The sequence below is a fragment of the Homo sapiens genome, chromosome 11, assembly GCF_000001405.40.
Source record: "Homo sapiens chromosome 11, GRCh38.p14 Primary Assembly".
NCBI lineage: Eukaryota > Metazoa > Chordata > Mammalia > Primates > Hominidae > Homo > Homo sapiens.
In genome coordinates, this window is record NC_000011.10 from 6,475,822 (window position 1) to 6,490,053 (window position 14,232).

Below are 14,232 nucleotides of genomic sequence, written 5' to 3' on the forward strand. Positions count from 1 at the left end.
AGGACTACAGGCGCCAGCCACCGTGCCGGGCTAATTTTCTTGCATTTTTAGTAGAGATGGGTTTTCACCGTGTTAGCCAGGATGGTCTTGATCTCCTGACCTGGTGATCCGCCCGCCTCGGCCTCCCAAAGTGCTGGGATTACAGGAGTGAGCCACCGCACCTGGCCAGGTCTCAGCTTTCAAACTGACATCCCCATTTCCACCCCAGTCCATGCCAGATGCCCCTCCTTTGTGCTCCCACAGCGCCCTCTGTACTTCTGTATCCTAATACTTATCACTGTTTTGTAGTTGCCTGGTTACTTCTTTCCCTCAGTAGGCCCTAAGCACTGTGGGCAGGGACCGTGTTTTATTCACTGATGTTTCCCCAGGGCCTAACGCAGTCCCTGGCAAATGAAAGCACTCAGTAAATATTTGCTGTATGAATGAATGCATGATGAAGGTCAGCAAACCCAACCCCCTCTGGATCTGGTGCTCTTAAGATCCATAGCTATCTTGGTGCTGGCTAAAGGACAAAGCTTTGGCTCCAACTGAGGCTGGGAGAGAAGACTGGGCCTTCAAACCATCTCTGAAACCTGTGACTTCAGCTGCCTGGCCCCAGCTCTTTTGACTTGATAGGGTTCTGGTGTTTGATTAGACTGAGCTTGTCTCCACCCAGGCCACCCTCCTAGAGTCCCCGACAAATTGACCTCGCTGGGCCTGCTTTTATGAAAGGTTTATTCCTAGTGCTAGATCCCAATCTTCTTGGGCTCTAAGCACAATTAAACTGGGTGGGTGGGTGAGGGTAGGCCTATTCAGATGCAAGGCCAGCAATGGGGCTCCCCATTATCCCCACCCCTTTGGTCCCAGTCCCCTTCTCTGCAATGGGCACGCATAGAGGAGAGACAAAGGGTATTAGACGCAACATCATTGGCCCAGGGGAGTCCGAGAAGAGCTGCCATTGGCTGACAGGGCATTTTCAGGCTCTGTCATTGGTCAGGGAGCACACCCCAGCCTGAAGAGTGATGCCATTGGCCAGGGAGTGGTTTTGTCATAGCCGTTGGCTGTGAAGTGGAAGGAAAAGATCTGGGAATGAAGCCCTGTGGCCAGGAAGATAGACAGGGCAGCAACTTCTGGGCCTCCAGGCCCTCTTCCCACCATAGCAATGTGGGCAAAACTGGTGTCAGGCCCCAGCCAGAAAAAGGAGCCCAAGCCAGAGGGCAAGTGACAAAGGATGTACCATGTCCAATCTCCCACACCCTGGGGCTGCCCTTCCCAATGTCTTTCTTGATAGCCAAGTTGGGCTGGGAGCAGCTCACTGCTCCTCTAGCCAGGAGGGTTTCTCAGCTCCTGGAGGCCGCAGCTTGATGTTGAACTGCTGCAGGGTCTGCTCCAGCTGTTTCTGGTTCCCAGCAAAGTAGGCGGACACAGCATTGTGGAAGAGCAGCAGCTGCTTGTGCATCACCTTGATCTGGGGGTCCAGCAGGGTCAGCTAAGGCTGGACTCAGGCGCCCTTCTTGAGGGTCTATGAGCCTGAGCCCAGGCACAGACCAGGGGCACAAGGACTCTGCTCTGATGGTGCTTTTGGGGTAGGGGCTGAACTCTACCCAGGGAGTCAAAGGAGAAGGGTCAGTATGATGGAAGAAACCTCACTGGATTTGTGGGCCTAGGGTTTTTGTACCCCAGCTCAGGGGGTGATTTTTCCCAGTTATGTTCCTGGGACCAGCAGCCAAATCCTCCAACAGGAAAGGGCCAGGAATTGGAGGGAGGGTGATCTGGAAAGGCCCAGGGGTTGAGGGGGTGAACACTCTACTCCCCAGCTAGGCTGCATTTCCTCATTCAATAATGGGGAGGGTCTGAGGGGAAGGTTAGTGTTACAGATGGAAAGGTGGGCTAGGGTCAAGGGGGTGGGGTTGGCACCTTGTTTTCTTCCAGGAACTTGAGCTTGATGGCCACATCTCCCCGCAGCTTCTCATACTTGTCCCGATGGGCCTGGAAAGTGGCCTGGGCACTCTCAAGTCGACCACGTGTCCCTGCATCCCGGGGGCCTAGACTCAGCTCCTCTAAGTCTGTTCGGTAGGCATCATATTCCAGCCTGGGGAGGGGGTGATAAAGGCTGGTCTCCACTCCTTTATCCTCAACACATACTCTCCTTTCCTTCCTGAATTCTTATGCCCCTAATGCCCAAATTTCCACCCATACCAGCCAACTCCCCAAACCCTAAGCCCTGCCAGTGCCCACACCTGGCAGCCTCATACTGTTTCACAGTCATGAGCGTGTCTTCCATGGTCTTGGTGACCAATGTGTTGATGCTAGAGACAAAGAAGTTCACGGCTCCTAGCAGCGTTTCCCCATTCTTGCATAGTAGTTTCTGTGTCTCTGCATTGTAGCCAAATTCCTCCTGAGGGCAGAAGGGAGGAACAGACCTTGAATAACACTCCCTACCTGACTGAAGCTGTAGAGCCCTTCATTCCCCTCCTCCCCGGGGAGGACACAGCCAGCAAAACTGGAACAACCAAGGACTGCCTCCAGCAAGGCTCTCTTAGCCGGAAAGTTAGTGGGATCACCCTGGGGATACCTGGGGTAGGAATGTGGGTGGTGGGCATTCTTGGGTAAGTTCACAAGACTGGAACAGTCTGAGAGCTAGTGTGGCAAGCAGGGGAGGGGCTCTGATTAGGCTGAGCACGAAGGCATTCTCCCCAGTGCAGAGAGGGGTTATTTGTGAGGCACCTAGTGTGCCCCCTCCCCCACCCCCTCCAACTTCTGGACCTCTGTACAAACCCTTAGGCTGCCTCCACAGGTGAGTGCTGCTGGGGGTAGGGCTGGGCCCACCCTGAAGGGGTTCTCCCTGTGGGCTGCAGGAGGGAGGGAGGATGAGGAATGACTGCCTGGGAGGGCCCATGCCCAGTTCCCCCACCCTCTTTGGTCTGGGTGAGGCACCTGAAGCTCTGGGGACTTCTGGCTGAGGTCAGCAAAGGCATCACCCAGTGCATGCTGGGTCTGCAGCAGGCTGTAGAGGTGGGCTGTCAGTGCCCGGCCCAGCTGCAGGACACTCTCATACTTGCGCTTCGTCTCACGCAGCAACTCAATCTGCAGCTCTAGCTCCAGGTCCACAGTCCGTGAGCCTCGACCAAATCGTTCTGATAACAGTTGCTTTGTGCACTGATTGGGAAATGGGGGAATAAATCAGAGACCCTAACAGCCTCCCCACACAACAGGTATCTACCCCAGCACCCCCCAGGCTCCTACTCTCAGCCACAGATGGGATATTACGATCACGAAGAAAAGGGAAAAAGGTACCCATAAGGAGTTTTGGGGAAGGGAGAGGTGCTTAAATCCTACCTTATAGGTGTTGATGCCCCATTTCTTGACGATGTCAAACTTTTCTCCAGCAATGCCCCGAGCCACCTCATCTCCAGGGCCAGAAGGAGTGGTGCTGTGAGATGGATGGCGGCCAGACCCTAAAGGATCAAGTTCTCTGACACCAGCCTCTCTCAGATACACCAGACACCTCTGTGGCCCCACCCATACTTCTCTTCGAGCACATGAAATTGACTTCCCTGAAGGAGATGCTAGAGACAACTGGATGCTCCTGCTTACTAGGAGGAACTCGGACTTTGCGCGGTGAGAACCAAATCCTGATATACATATGGCCTCCTTGGGGGTTAGAGGAGGGGTTTGCAGGGAGTTGTTGGTGTACAGGGGCAGAGGAAACAGAAGAAAATACACTGAGTTTGGGGGCAGCAGGAGTCAAGGATGGTGGGTCATGATAACAAGAAACCTGGTTGCATTCCCATGTGGAATCTTAGTGTGAGATTCAGGGCTGTTTGTTCCTCTAAACTTTAGAATCTAAAAATTCTGAGAAGCTTCACAAAGTTCCAACTCAGCCTCAAGCTGTAGAGGGGGGGCATTCCTGTGAAGCAGGTCTTAACTTGACTCAGGTGGTGGCAGGGAAAGGACAAATGAGCCATTTCAGGGGCTAAGTGGCAAAAGGGAAATGGATGGACAACGCTGGGAGTTGCTTTTGGGCTGAGGAGAGTCCATGAGGTTCCTACAAGCAGAAGTTCCCAAGATCTCCAGACATAATTCAAGCTTTCCTAGACATATCCTATGCTTCCCCAAACCATTCCTGTCCCCTCCTCCACCCAAGATTCCTGTTTCTGAACATTCATACCTGTGGGGATGAGTCCATCACCAGAGCCCCCATAGCCACCAGACACAATGCTGGTTTCATTGAGGTTGGGTCCTGACACCATCACCTGCTGGAGGTCCTATAGGCCAGAGAAGAGGGGTTGCTTCAGGAACATAGGGGCTGCAGAAGCATTTTGGAGGTGGGAACAAGTTTGGATTCAAGCATCATAAAGATAGTACACAAGGGAAGTCTGCACAGAATCAAAATGATACGTAAAAAGAATGAAGGGAGTCAGATAAGTCAGGGGAAGGCTACTGGAATGGAGGGTGAGAACCTAGGATTTATAAATTGGATTCCTAAATTGAAACAATTAGAAGAATCAAACAGAAGCACCTGCTCCAGCCCATCATCTTCAGGAAGCTGCCTGGCTTCGCCGTTCCCGTGGATAGGGATCTCCATTGTGGCTGCCTTCCCTAGGATCCCGTCCGTCATGGCTAGGAAAGGTATTGGAGTAAAACTCTCCACCCCAGCACCCTGCAAAGCCCAACACAGAAGTTCTGGACACTGGCCAGCACTCTAGAAGAAGGAGGCCTCCTCTGTCATTTCTTTAAAGGCTGTCCCAGGGTTTGAGTGTCCCAGCGTTTGGCCATCATTCCTTTCTTCAGATATATGTATTTCTCCCCTCCAAAACGCACATTTGAAACAGGCACACCAAAGCACGGTGTCTTCTCACAAGCCCCCAACCTCACCAGGACTCTGGTGATTATTTCTACACTCATTCAGCAGACATTTAGTGAGTGCCTACTATGTGTCAGGCACTATTTGTGACAATGAAAATACAACAGTGAAGAGGGAAAGTCTGCTCTCTTAGAACTTATCTCCATGCAGGCGTGTTTATGCTGAGGAGATGAACCCTTTCCAGGGCTCAGGTCTTCACCCCCCTATTCAGGTTTGTTCTCCATTGCTTGGCCTTTCACATTCCTTTAGCGTTTCTTCCCCCTTCCTTCAGGGGGTCTCCCCTCCTCCGTCTCATACACCTCGTCTTCCTCGGGCCCTCCCCACCAGGCCTTAGTTAGATCAGTGGGTGTATGTTCCCAGTCTCTGGTAAAAGCCTCTCTCTCCCAGGATATCGGTGACCCTTCCACAGTCAGTTATGTCTCCCAGGTGTGTGAGTCCCCGCCCCCACCCCCATACACCTGGACATCAGGTGTGTCCTCATCCTTCCCCGGGGCTCGGGGCATCTTGCCCTCTGGACAGGTTTGTGCGTTCAACTTCCCGTCGCCCAAGCATGTTCCTCTCACCTCGGGCCGGGCCGCTCTTCCCCTCAGGGCGCCAGGCCCGGGCCGCGCGGGGACCTCGGGCTCCAGTTCCCGTCGCGATCCTAGCAGCAGGTCAGGGACTCGGCGGAAATGACGTCCTCTCCGGGCAGAAGAAGCCGGCCACGTCGCAGATTATAAGGGCGGAGCTGACGTCGCAGCCAGGGCAGGGCGATACTCGAGCTAGCTCTCGAGATCAGCGAGAGGTTACTTCCGGGGCGGCACCGAGAAGCTGAAACGGAAGTGGCGTACGGCATGCGCCGGTGGCGTGATGGAGCGGCAGCAGCAGCAGCAACAGCAACTGCGAAACGTAAGTGAGAACTAAGTCGTTTCGAGGCCAGACGTTCAGCTCGCATTCCTGCACACATCGCGGGAACCCCACAGGGCCAGGGATTTGAGGGCTGGAAACTTCGGGCTATGGCGCGCGGGCCTGGGAAACTTTGGGCGGCGCGACCTTGACTAGAAGTGTGGGGCCCTTATCGCTGAGTTTGTGGTCCCCCTTTTCTCTCAGCTGCGTGACTTCCTGTTGGTCTACAATCGGATGACAGAACTCTGCTTCCAGCGCTGTGTGCCCAGCTTGCACCACCGAGCTCTGGACGCTGAGGAGGTGGGGAACTGTGTAGGGAGGTTACGCTGCAAGAAGAGTTTAGCGGTAGACTGCTTCCCTCCTCACCCCACTTCCCGTACCTCTGGCCCTGGCCTTCCCACGACCCTCACCCCTAGGCTGGGCATGGGGAAGAAAGGAGGCGGACCCGACAGGGCACCTTTATCCTCCACTTAAACCCTATCTTCCTTCTAGGAGGCCTGTCTGCACAGCTGTGCTGGGAAGCTGATCCATTCCAACCACCGCCTCATGGCCGCTTACGTGCAGCTCATGCCTGCCCTGGTACAGCGCCGCATCGCAGACTACGAGGCTGCCTCGGCTGTGCCAGGCGTTGCTGCTGAACAGCCTGGGGTCTCTCCATCAGGCAGCTAGCCATACCCAACCCCAGGAAGGAAGGCCTTGGATGGACCCTCAGATTGAAGGACCCGGTGGACCTTGGGGTTGGTGAATCCTAAACAGAGAGAATTCGAGGTTGCCTGAAAGCTGGGTGTCCTTGCTCCTTTTCCTGGAGCCAATATACCCAGTTTTTACTCAGTTTGATTTATATTCTGGGCAAGGAAGCTTTGCCTACTTTATTGGCACAATCCGTTGTTCTGTCGTTTAGTGCATATCTGCTGGCTTCAGCCCTGGCAGCTGAGAAATTGTTTTCTATATGTAGAAGGAAAACCTGAGCATTTGCAGGCATCTGGTTAAAGCAGGGTCTGTGTGTACAATTTTAAAACGGGTAATATGTCATGCTCTTAGTTCATCTTCACAACAAAACTATGAGTAAGCGGTATTAGCCTCACTTAACAGATGAGGAAGCAAGATTCCAGAAAGTACCAGAAGGTCATTTTATACAACAGGAGATTGGTTCCTGCCCAGATGACAGAAAATGGGAGCTCTGTCTAGTTGTCCTTAAGTCTGACTGACTTCAGTGGCTCATAACCGTGAGCCAAGTATTTGTTGGTTCATAACTGTTGTTTTGTGAACTATGTCTTACATGTCTAGAGTTCTGCTGGATCTAGGGAAAGGAGGAGCTATCGAAGTACAACGGATCAAAAAACCACAGGGCTTTTGGGCACTGCCTCCTTGGGAAGTTAGTGGCCACAGAAGAGAGATGAAACCTGTAAGAAGTCTGGAGTCTTTTGGAACTTCAGCCATTTCCCCAGGTTGTTACTTTCTTAGTATGTACAGTCTTCTCAGGATGAGCAGTAAAACCTTTGAACAAAGGTCTGTGTGGTTGTCTTCACGGGCAATCAGGAAGGGAGAGAGCTGGGGACCATATTCTGCAATGCAGCCAAATCCGAGGAAGAGAAACTGAAGGGAGAAGTAGATGGCAATGGTTATGATAAAAAGGGATAAAACTAAATCTTCGGGACTTCTTTAATGCTACGTTAATGTTTCACTGCTCGTCTAGAAACTCCTAAATCCAGCTTTCTATCATCTGCCCCACATTGGTCCCATTGAGTACATTCTGTGATTTCTAATTCCAGCCTCTCCATTCTTTTCTCATTATTGCCTCCCCCGCCCCCCAACTTTGTGTAATTTACTTCTGTATTCAGCAGCCTGGATAGCATATCATTCCATCACCCCATTTTCTTGCCACCATTGGCCATCTTTTTGTATCATTCCACTTATTCTGTCTTTTCCATTCCTTCATTCAAACTGCTAGAGAAAAACAGTTGTGTAATGAATGCCACTAAATATTCAAGGCCTCCAACCTCAGCCAAGTCCTCACACCAACACGCAGTCACACCAACACACACCTTTATGGGTTCCTGGTCCATTTCCTTCTCTAATTACCATGGCAGTTATTTTACACCTCTACTGCTGTCCTTAATCCCATACCCCACCCTCATCAGGTGACCCTGTTTCCTTTTTTAGAGAAATTGAAGCTCTTAGACATTGGTTTCCACAGTAATAATTTTAAAACTTCTTACAACTACCTACAAAGCAGATGTTCTATCCTATCTACAGAGCAGAAAATTGAAATTCTCAAGTAGCAGACCCGGTATTAAAGTGCAGATCTGACTTTAAAGTCCATGTTCATTTTACACAGCAGGCTGCCTCTTAAGATAGTATTTATTGAGCACACACTTTGTGTAGGTTCTGATTTTGGTAGATGTCATGCTTTATATTAATCTTTACAACAACTATAAGTAAGAGGTATTAACCTCACTTAACAGATGAGGAAGCAAGAATCCAGAATGTGCCAGAAGGCACATTCTGCAGATTTCGTGCAAACATTTATACACAGCTTCTTTTTTTTTTTTTTGAGACAGAGTCTCGCTCTGTCACCCAGGCTGGAGTGCAGTGGAGCGATCTAGGCTCACTGCAACCTCCGCCACCCGGGTTCAAGCAGTTCTCCTGCCTCAGCCTCTCGAGTAGCTGGGATTACAGGCATGCGCCACCACGCCCAGCTAATTTTGTTTTTGTATTTTAAGTAGAGACGGGGTTTCACTGTATTGGTCAGGCTGGTCTTGAACTCCTGACCTTGTGATCCGCCCGCCTCGGCCTCCAAAAGTGCTGGGATTACAGGTGTGAGCCACCACGGCCGGCCTATACAAAGTTTCTTATTGAGAAAAGTGGTTCCAATCATGTTTTTTGCCCCCTTTAGCTGCTATCTCTTGAACAGAAAAGTTTGTTAGGAAGGTAAAAGTTGCTGACTAGGACCTTACCCACAGGGTGGCACTCTGTCCTTGGGAAATATAAATGCAAGTAAAACAGGTTTGAACTTCTTAACTTCCAGAAGATAGGAGGATGGGACCTGTGATACTGTGCTGCTGGTGGGAGGACCCTTCCACATCAACATTTGTGTGTATCCTTGCAATAAACTTCCATTGTGAATTATCTGTGCTTCCCGTCCTTCCATGTCACACAATAGTAATTGCTAAAGAAGAGCTAGGAGCATAGATCTGTCTGATTCTAAAGCCTTTGCTCTTTGAACTTTGAGAGCTTCTATCTGTACTTAACCTGCCTCTAGGCATGAAAAAACAAATGTCCCTCAGTCTGACCCATCTCTTAATCCCTTTCTTAAAATTTCAATCTCTTGTCCTGGTTCTTTCCTGTTTATAAATATGTTCAGTGTTCAGGAGAAAAACCTTATTCCTACCACTTTACCTTCCATAATCTGGTCTTCCTCAGGTTTTACCATAAAGTGATAGCCATTGGCATAATCGGAGCAATGTGATGTTCCAAGCACAACACTAAAGAATAAATGTTGACAAGCTTTATCATGTTATCATAAATGTAAACGTTGGAGATACTTTGTTGTTCCTGCCATTGTGGCTTCAGAACTGCCCACTCCTTTGCAAAGCCTCATTCTTTTGAGGCTGTTCATCCATACAACCCTCTGATTACTTGTCTACCACTCTCATTTACTACTACTCTCCTGCTACTTTAAATAGCTAGCCCTTGGTCTTCCTGTCCACTCCTTGATATTTTAACATTTACATAGACAATTCATTTGGTGTTTTGTCTCCTAGTTATTTGGCCCAATCTCTGATGATTTCCACTCTGTCTTGGCCACTCACTCCGTTTGTCATATCTTGGCCATTATCATCACCTCAAATTGCTCCATCTTCAAAATACTTGCATCTTATTTATTGACCATATTCCTTCCACTTGGTTTATTGAACTATTCCCTCTATCATTCTCTGATTTCACTGCAGCCAATGCTTCTGCTTTCCATTAGTCCCTTCCTTCTTTAGATTCCTGTATAGCTTAAACTAGTGGTTTTCGTGCAATAGGCTGAATTTCCTTGCCTTTCATCTCTTTTTGAACCCTTAAATAAAGTGATACTTGTCTGTACCTGCATTTGGACAGCTAAATGCCACCCCAGGAAACAACTGTGGAGCAGATTTATATCACTATGAATCCATGGTTATCAGCTTCAAATGTAGTCTCAGCCCCATAGTCCTACTAGATTTTTCTAGTCATTTTAACTTTTCCCTGCAATGACTATTTCAAACCAACATTCTTAAATCTCTTATCACTCCCCCGCACCATTATCTTCACTTTATGCAAGTAACTATTTCTTACATCATAGACAAAAGTAGAAGCTATCGGTCATTCTCTCAACATCCTACAACTTATTTACCCACACATATGCATCATTCTTTCTCTTTTGTCTAAACAAGGCAAGCATACATCTGTCTAAAGCCAGTGCCTATTCTGTGCTCGGAATCTTAGTCCTTCCATCTTGGAGGATCTTTGACTTCCACTTTACTGAATTATTCTCATCAGTGTTTAAACATGCTAAAGATTCTCCTGTTAATAAACCACTTCATACCTCATTTCCCCTCCAGTTACACTTCTATCTTTTCTACTTTACAGTTAAACTTCTCAAAACAGTTGGATAGTTTGGGCCTCTCCATTTTACAAGTCATTTCCCATTTTCATTCCTCAACCGAGTCCATTTTGACTTCTGCAACCATCATTCTGTTGAAATGGTTCTTGCCAAGGTCACCTTGGTGATCACCTTCCTATCCTTCAATCCGGTGGTTATTTCCCAGTCCTCACTACCTCACTTCTCAGTAGCATTTGGTATAATTTTCTAGTTTCTTATCATTGATACTCTTCCATTGGCGTCTGATTCTACTTTCATGGTTTTACTACTACCTCTTTGATCTTTGACCACAGCTGCTTAGCCTCCTTTGCAGGCTCATCCTCCTCCCAGCCTTTAAATCTGAAAGTTTCTCTCGGTTCTGTTCTTCTCACTCTAATTTTCCTAGGACAGTTTCATCCCCACTCTGAACTTTAGTTACTGATGACTTCCAGATCTCCTCCAAGCTATTTGACATCTCCACTTAAGTATCTCAAAAACATCCCAAACTCAACATGTTTCCTAATAAACTATCCTATGCCTGGTACTCATCCAGTTGGAGAAGCTAGAAGGCATTTGCCTTTTTCTATCACTCAATTGCCAGATCTTATCAGTTTACATTTCTAAATATCCCTTGATTCTCACTGCCTCTCTCTCCACCTTCACCATAATCTCCCACCAGGATTACTGCAGTTGCTGCTGCTTCCTATACCCACTCTTGTATCCCTTCAATCTGTTGTTCACTCATAAGCCATAAAATGCAAACTAATGCTTAAACTTTGCAAGAGCTTCCCATTCTTAGGATAAAAACTGAAATTCTAAATATGACCTACAAGGCCCTGCATGATCCAGCCTGTGACTACTTCCAGCTTTATCTTATCAGTAACTATCAAACAATGGACTGTCAATACTATTTGCTGAATTTATTCAAATCACACTTCACTCTTTCCCTCTGTGCTCTGGCCACACTGGCCTTCTTTCACTTTCTCTAAATTGTCATGTACTGTTTCATCTCAAGGCCTTTGTATGTGCTGTTTCCTGGCTTACAATGCTTTCCCCCTTTATCTACTTCTCATTCTTGAGATCCTAGTTACTATTTCCTCAAAGAACTCTTCCCCAGACTCCAGCTCCCATAATTCCTCATGCTTTTGGTGTATCGCACTTTTTTCAATATATTTTTCAAGTTTTACTTTGAATGATGTTAATTACAGCATTTGAAGGGGAGGATCTAAATTCACACAAAATGGAAGGCTCTAAAATACACCCATTAAACTGCTAAAAAATAAATTGAGTGGTGAGAATACAACGGAAGTCCAATTTAGATTCTGAGTGTTGTCACCATGTGATTCTTCCAAGCTTATATCCAGAACTCCTGGAAGCTATTTCATATTCTGGTGGGGGGGGCACAAAACCACAGCATGAGAAGGAATTAAGTCCTGAATTATTGGCTTCATCATATCCACCCTCTCCACCCCAGAATGGCAGAAAAGAAACAGTTACCACACCCTGCAGACCTTTTGGTGTAAAATAGGTGATGATTAACTGGGGTGGAAACAGGTCATGAAGATCTGTCTAAAAGAGTCCCTTTCAAGTGAGTTTGCACACACCATCAAGCAACAAGCCTCTCATTAATTAGGGTTAGGAAACCAAGGTTCAATTCTCAGGAAGTCATAATTTCATTCATTTACTCAATATGAATTTACAAAATGCCTACATATTATCAGCTTCCATGTGCAGTCATTTCTAGATAAAAAAGAAACCTGGCTTCTCTAGAGGGGCCACCAAGTTCCTCCTCCAAGTCTATAGCTGAAAGGACCTTTTTTGGAATTGGGTTTCTTCTCTACCTCTGAAAGAGTAACACTTTAAAGCTGAATTATCTTTAGCCTGGAAATTAACATATTTAGCCTGTAAGTCTAACATTTAGCAATGCTTGCATCCCAGACATACAGTAGAAGATACACTAAATTCTGAAGGTAGCTGTGCTGCAAAATAATGTAAAAGTAAACAATTGTACAGTATTTATGCTCAAAATTTCAGTTCCAGACCTAGCGTGTAACCACTGGCATTGTTATTCTTGCCATCCAGGAGAGCTGACAGTGTCATTTTGATACCTGGCTTTAGGGTCTCAGTGTATTCTAAACCTGTTAGGCTAGAGTTGTTCACTTAGCCAAGAAGCAGGTGTCAGGGTTGATCAGATACTTGGGTATTCCAAAGTGAGTGTTTGTATTAGTCTGTTTTCACACTGCTAGTAAAGATACACCTTGGGACTGGGTAATTTATAAAGGAAAAGGTTTAATGGGCTCACACAGTTCCACGTGGCTGGAGAGGCCTCACCATTGTGGGGGAAGGCGAAAGCCACATCTTACATGGTGGCAGGCGGGAGAGAAAATGAAAGCCAAGTGAAAGGAGTTTCCCCTTATAAAACCATCAGATCCCGTGAGACATTCACTACCATGAGAACAGTATGGGGAAACTGCCCCCATGATTCAATTATCTCCCACCAGGTCAGTCCCACACACGTGGGAATTATGGGAGCTACAATTCAAGATTAGATTTGGGTGGGGACACAGACAAACCGTATTAGTGTTACTGTTTCCTGCTGTCCAGGTGAAATTGACAGTGGTCTCCAACTTCTTACTCACCTTCTGGTAAATGGAGCCACCAAACTGTCCCATTATTTACGTTAGTGTGAAGTTGGAATTCATCAGACTTGTAACCAACTGCAGAGTTGCTCTGGGTCACTCAGGATTTTGCAGTCTCAAAATTTATCTGGTAGCCAGCCAGTCAACCCTTGTAACCCAGCACCAGAGCGCCCCAGATGGAAGGTCCAGTGATGTCAAAATCCAGGTTACAGCCCAAGTTGATGTGCTCCTGCTTGTACCTGGTGTTGATTTTAGCATTTTTCCCCCAGTATTAGGTGACAAGGGTGAATTGAGGGTCAGCTTCAGTCCACTTGCAAGATGATCTTCCACAGTAATCTCAGTCCTGGTGTGTTGTGTGTTTCACTTCATAAACATCAGGCCGTACTCAGTCCATCTGTACTTGGTCTCCATGACTGCCTGTCACTTTGGTGATTTCAGTGTTGGCTGAGCCTAAGCTTTCAAATTCCAATGCATTCTCAGATTTTGTTTTCAAAAGGTTTATTAGGCCATATCCGTAGCCCTTGTTGAAGACATTCCTGGCAGATTTGCCAAGATTGGCATACTTGGGTGGCACAGCCATCTTCTGCTCAGAGGTGGTGGTGGCAGGCTTGGCGGCAGCTATGATGGGGGCTTCATCAGGGAGGCATGGAGCAAAGCAAGCAGCCGGTGTGTAGTGCTTTTAATGGTGTTTCATTATATACCTCATAAAGTCAGAGTCCATGTCTGTATTGCTCACCATTGTATCCTTATCACAGTGCTTGGCATATAATGTGTGCTCAACAAATATTTGTTGAATGAGCATCTTTGAATCTCCTCCCAGCTCAATTTGCTATTAACTAAGAGAAAGGCTTTTTTATCAGAAGAGACAGAAGTGAACCTGCACATCTAACCTTTGACGTTTTTCCAATGATTTAAAGATGTTTTTCACCCAAAATCTCAGTAGGTGTTATCTTCTACCCTTAATAGTCACAGATCAGTCAACATCTAAAAGGCCCCGTCTGGAGCAAATCACTCTGCCATTCTAGTTTCCACCTAATTTCTAAGTCCTATAGTTCTGCTTAAATATCTCTTAAACCATTTTCCTTCTCTCCATCTTCATTGTTATTACCTTAACCAAACTTTTATCAGCTTTATTTTTTTTTTTTAAGATGGAGTCTCGCTCTGCCCAGGCTGGTGTGCAATGATGCAATCTCTGCTCACTGCAACCTCCACCTCTCCTCGGCGAGTCTCCTGCCTGATGCCTCCCAAGCAGCTGG

General features: G+C 47.4%; 2 protein-coding genes and 1 pseudogene across 23 annotated transcripts, besides 3 other annotated features; 1 reads left to right on the top strand and 2 right to left on the bottom strand.

Annotated features, from left to right (window-relative positions):
* Nucleotides 1-697: 697 nt before the first annotated feature.
* Nucleotides 698-5,510, bottom strand: ARFIP2 (ARF interacting protein 2). Of its 22 annotated transcripts, none has more exons than NR_163424.2 (9): nucleotides 5,410-5,510; nucleotides 4,502-4,642; nucleotides 4,151-4,247; nucleotides 3,319-3,437; nucleotides 2,917-3,138; nucleotides 2,758-2,831; nucleotides 2,220-2,377; nucleotides 1,897-2,071; nucleotides 698-1,447 (listed from the first exon to the last, which is right to left on the bottom strand). NR_163424.2 is itself a non-coding variant. In NM_001370412.2 (8 exons), exons 2-8 carry the CDS (start codon nucleotides 4,598-4,600, stop codon nucleotides 1,292-1,294), a joined length of 978 nt encoding a protein of 325 aa, NP_001357341.1. In that variant the 5' UTR covers nucleotides 4,601-4,602; nucleotides 5,410-5,510; the 3' UTR covers nucleotides 698-1,291. The 22 variants fall into 22 exon arrangements, 18 of the variants coding, with proteins under 18 accessions (NP_001357341.1, NP_001357335.1, NP_001357340.1 ...); NR_164826.2 differs by having other exon boundaries at nucleotides 4,151-4,358; NR_163423.2 differs by lacking the exon at nucleotides 2,758-2,831 and having other exon boundaries at nucleotides 3,038-3,138; nucleotides 4,502-4,602.
* Nucleotides 5,103-6,302: an enhancer, noted in NCBI's record as "BRD4-independent group 4 enhancer chr11:6502154-6503353 (GRCh37/hg19 assembly coordinates)". NCBI's record gives its function as "activates an origin of replication core promoter dependent on BRD2, P300/CBP, MED14 and CDK7 cofactors, and independent of BRD4, by STARR-seq in HCT116 cells {active_cell/tissue: HCT116}" and the evidence as "EXISTENCE:reporter gene assay evidence [ECO:0000049][PMID:35650434]".
* Nucleotides 5,139-5,258: an enhancer, noted in NCBI's record as "active region_4342". NCBI's record gives its function as "activates an Ori minimal core promoter by ATAC-STARR-seq in GM12878 lymphoblastoid cells {active_cell/tissue: GM12878}" and the evidence as "EXISTENCE:reporter gene assay evidence [ECO:0000049][PMID:35858748]".
* On the top strand, nucleotides 5,680-8,860 carry TIMM10B (translocase of inner mitochondrial membrane 10B). The gene is made up of 3 exons (NM_012192.4): nucleotides 5,680-5,734; nucleotides 5,936-6,031; nucleotides 6,224-8,860. The coding sequence occupies exons 1-3, from the start codon at nucleotides 5,696-5,698 to the stop codon at nucleotides 6,398-6,400; spliced, it is 312 nt and encodes a 103-aa protein (NP_036324.1). The 5' UTR covers nucleotides 5,680-5,695; the 3' UTR covers nucleotides 6,401-8,860.
* Nucleotides 5,739-5,788: an enhancer, noted in NCBI's record as "active region_4343". NCBI's record gives its function as "activates an Ori minimal core promoter by ATAC-STARR-seq in GM12878 lymphoblastoid cells {active_cell/tissue: GM12878}" and the evidence as "EXISTENCE:reporter gene assay evidence [ECO:0000049][PMID:35858748]".
* A 3,296-nt stretch (nucleotides 8,861-12,156) lies between the features above and the next one.
* LOC644169 (voltage dependent anion channel 1 pseudogene) lies at nucleotides 12,157-13,563 on the bottom strand (annotated as a pseudogene).

Excerpts from the sequence above, each read along its gene's own strand:
- TIMM10B (NM_012192.4), top strand. The coding sequence starts at position 5,696 with ATGGAGCGGCAGCAGCAGCAGCAACAGCAACTGCGAAAC. Across the intron at positions 5,735-5,935 it reads AGCAACAGCAACTGCGAAAC|CTGCGTGACTTCCTGTTGGT; the intron begins GTAAGTGAGAAC and ends CTTTTCTCTCAG. Across the intron at positions 6,032-6,223 it reads GAGCTCTGGACGCTGAGGAG|GAGGCCTGTCTGCACAGCTG; the intron begins GTGGGGAACTGT and ends TCTTCCTTCTAG.
- ARFIP2 (NM_001242854.3), bottom strand. The coding sequence starts at position 4,600 with ATGACGGACGGGATCCTAGGGAAGGCAGCCACAATGGAGATCCCTATC. Across the intron at positions 3,537-4,150 it reads TGATGGACTCATCCCCACAG|GGAAGTCAATTTCATGTGCT; the intron begins GTATGAATGTTC and ends CATCTCCTTCAG. Across the intron at positions 2,072-2,219 it reads AAACAGTATGAGGCTGCCAG|GCTGGAATATGATGCCTACC; the intron begins GTGTGGGCACTG and ends CCCCCTCCCCAG.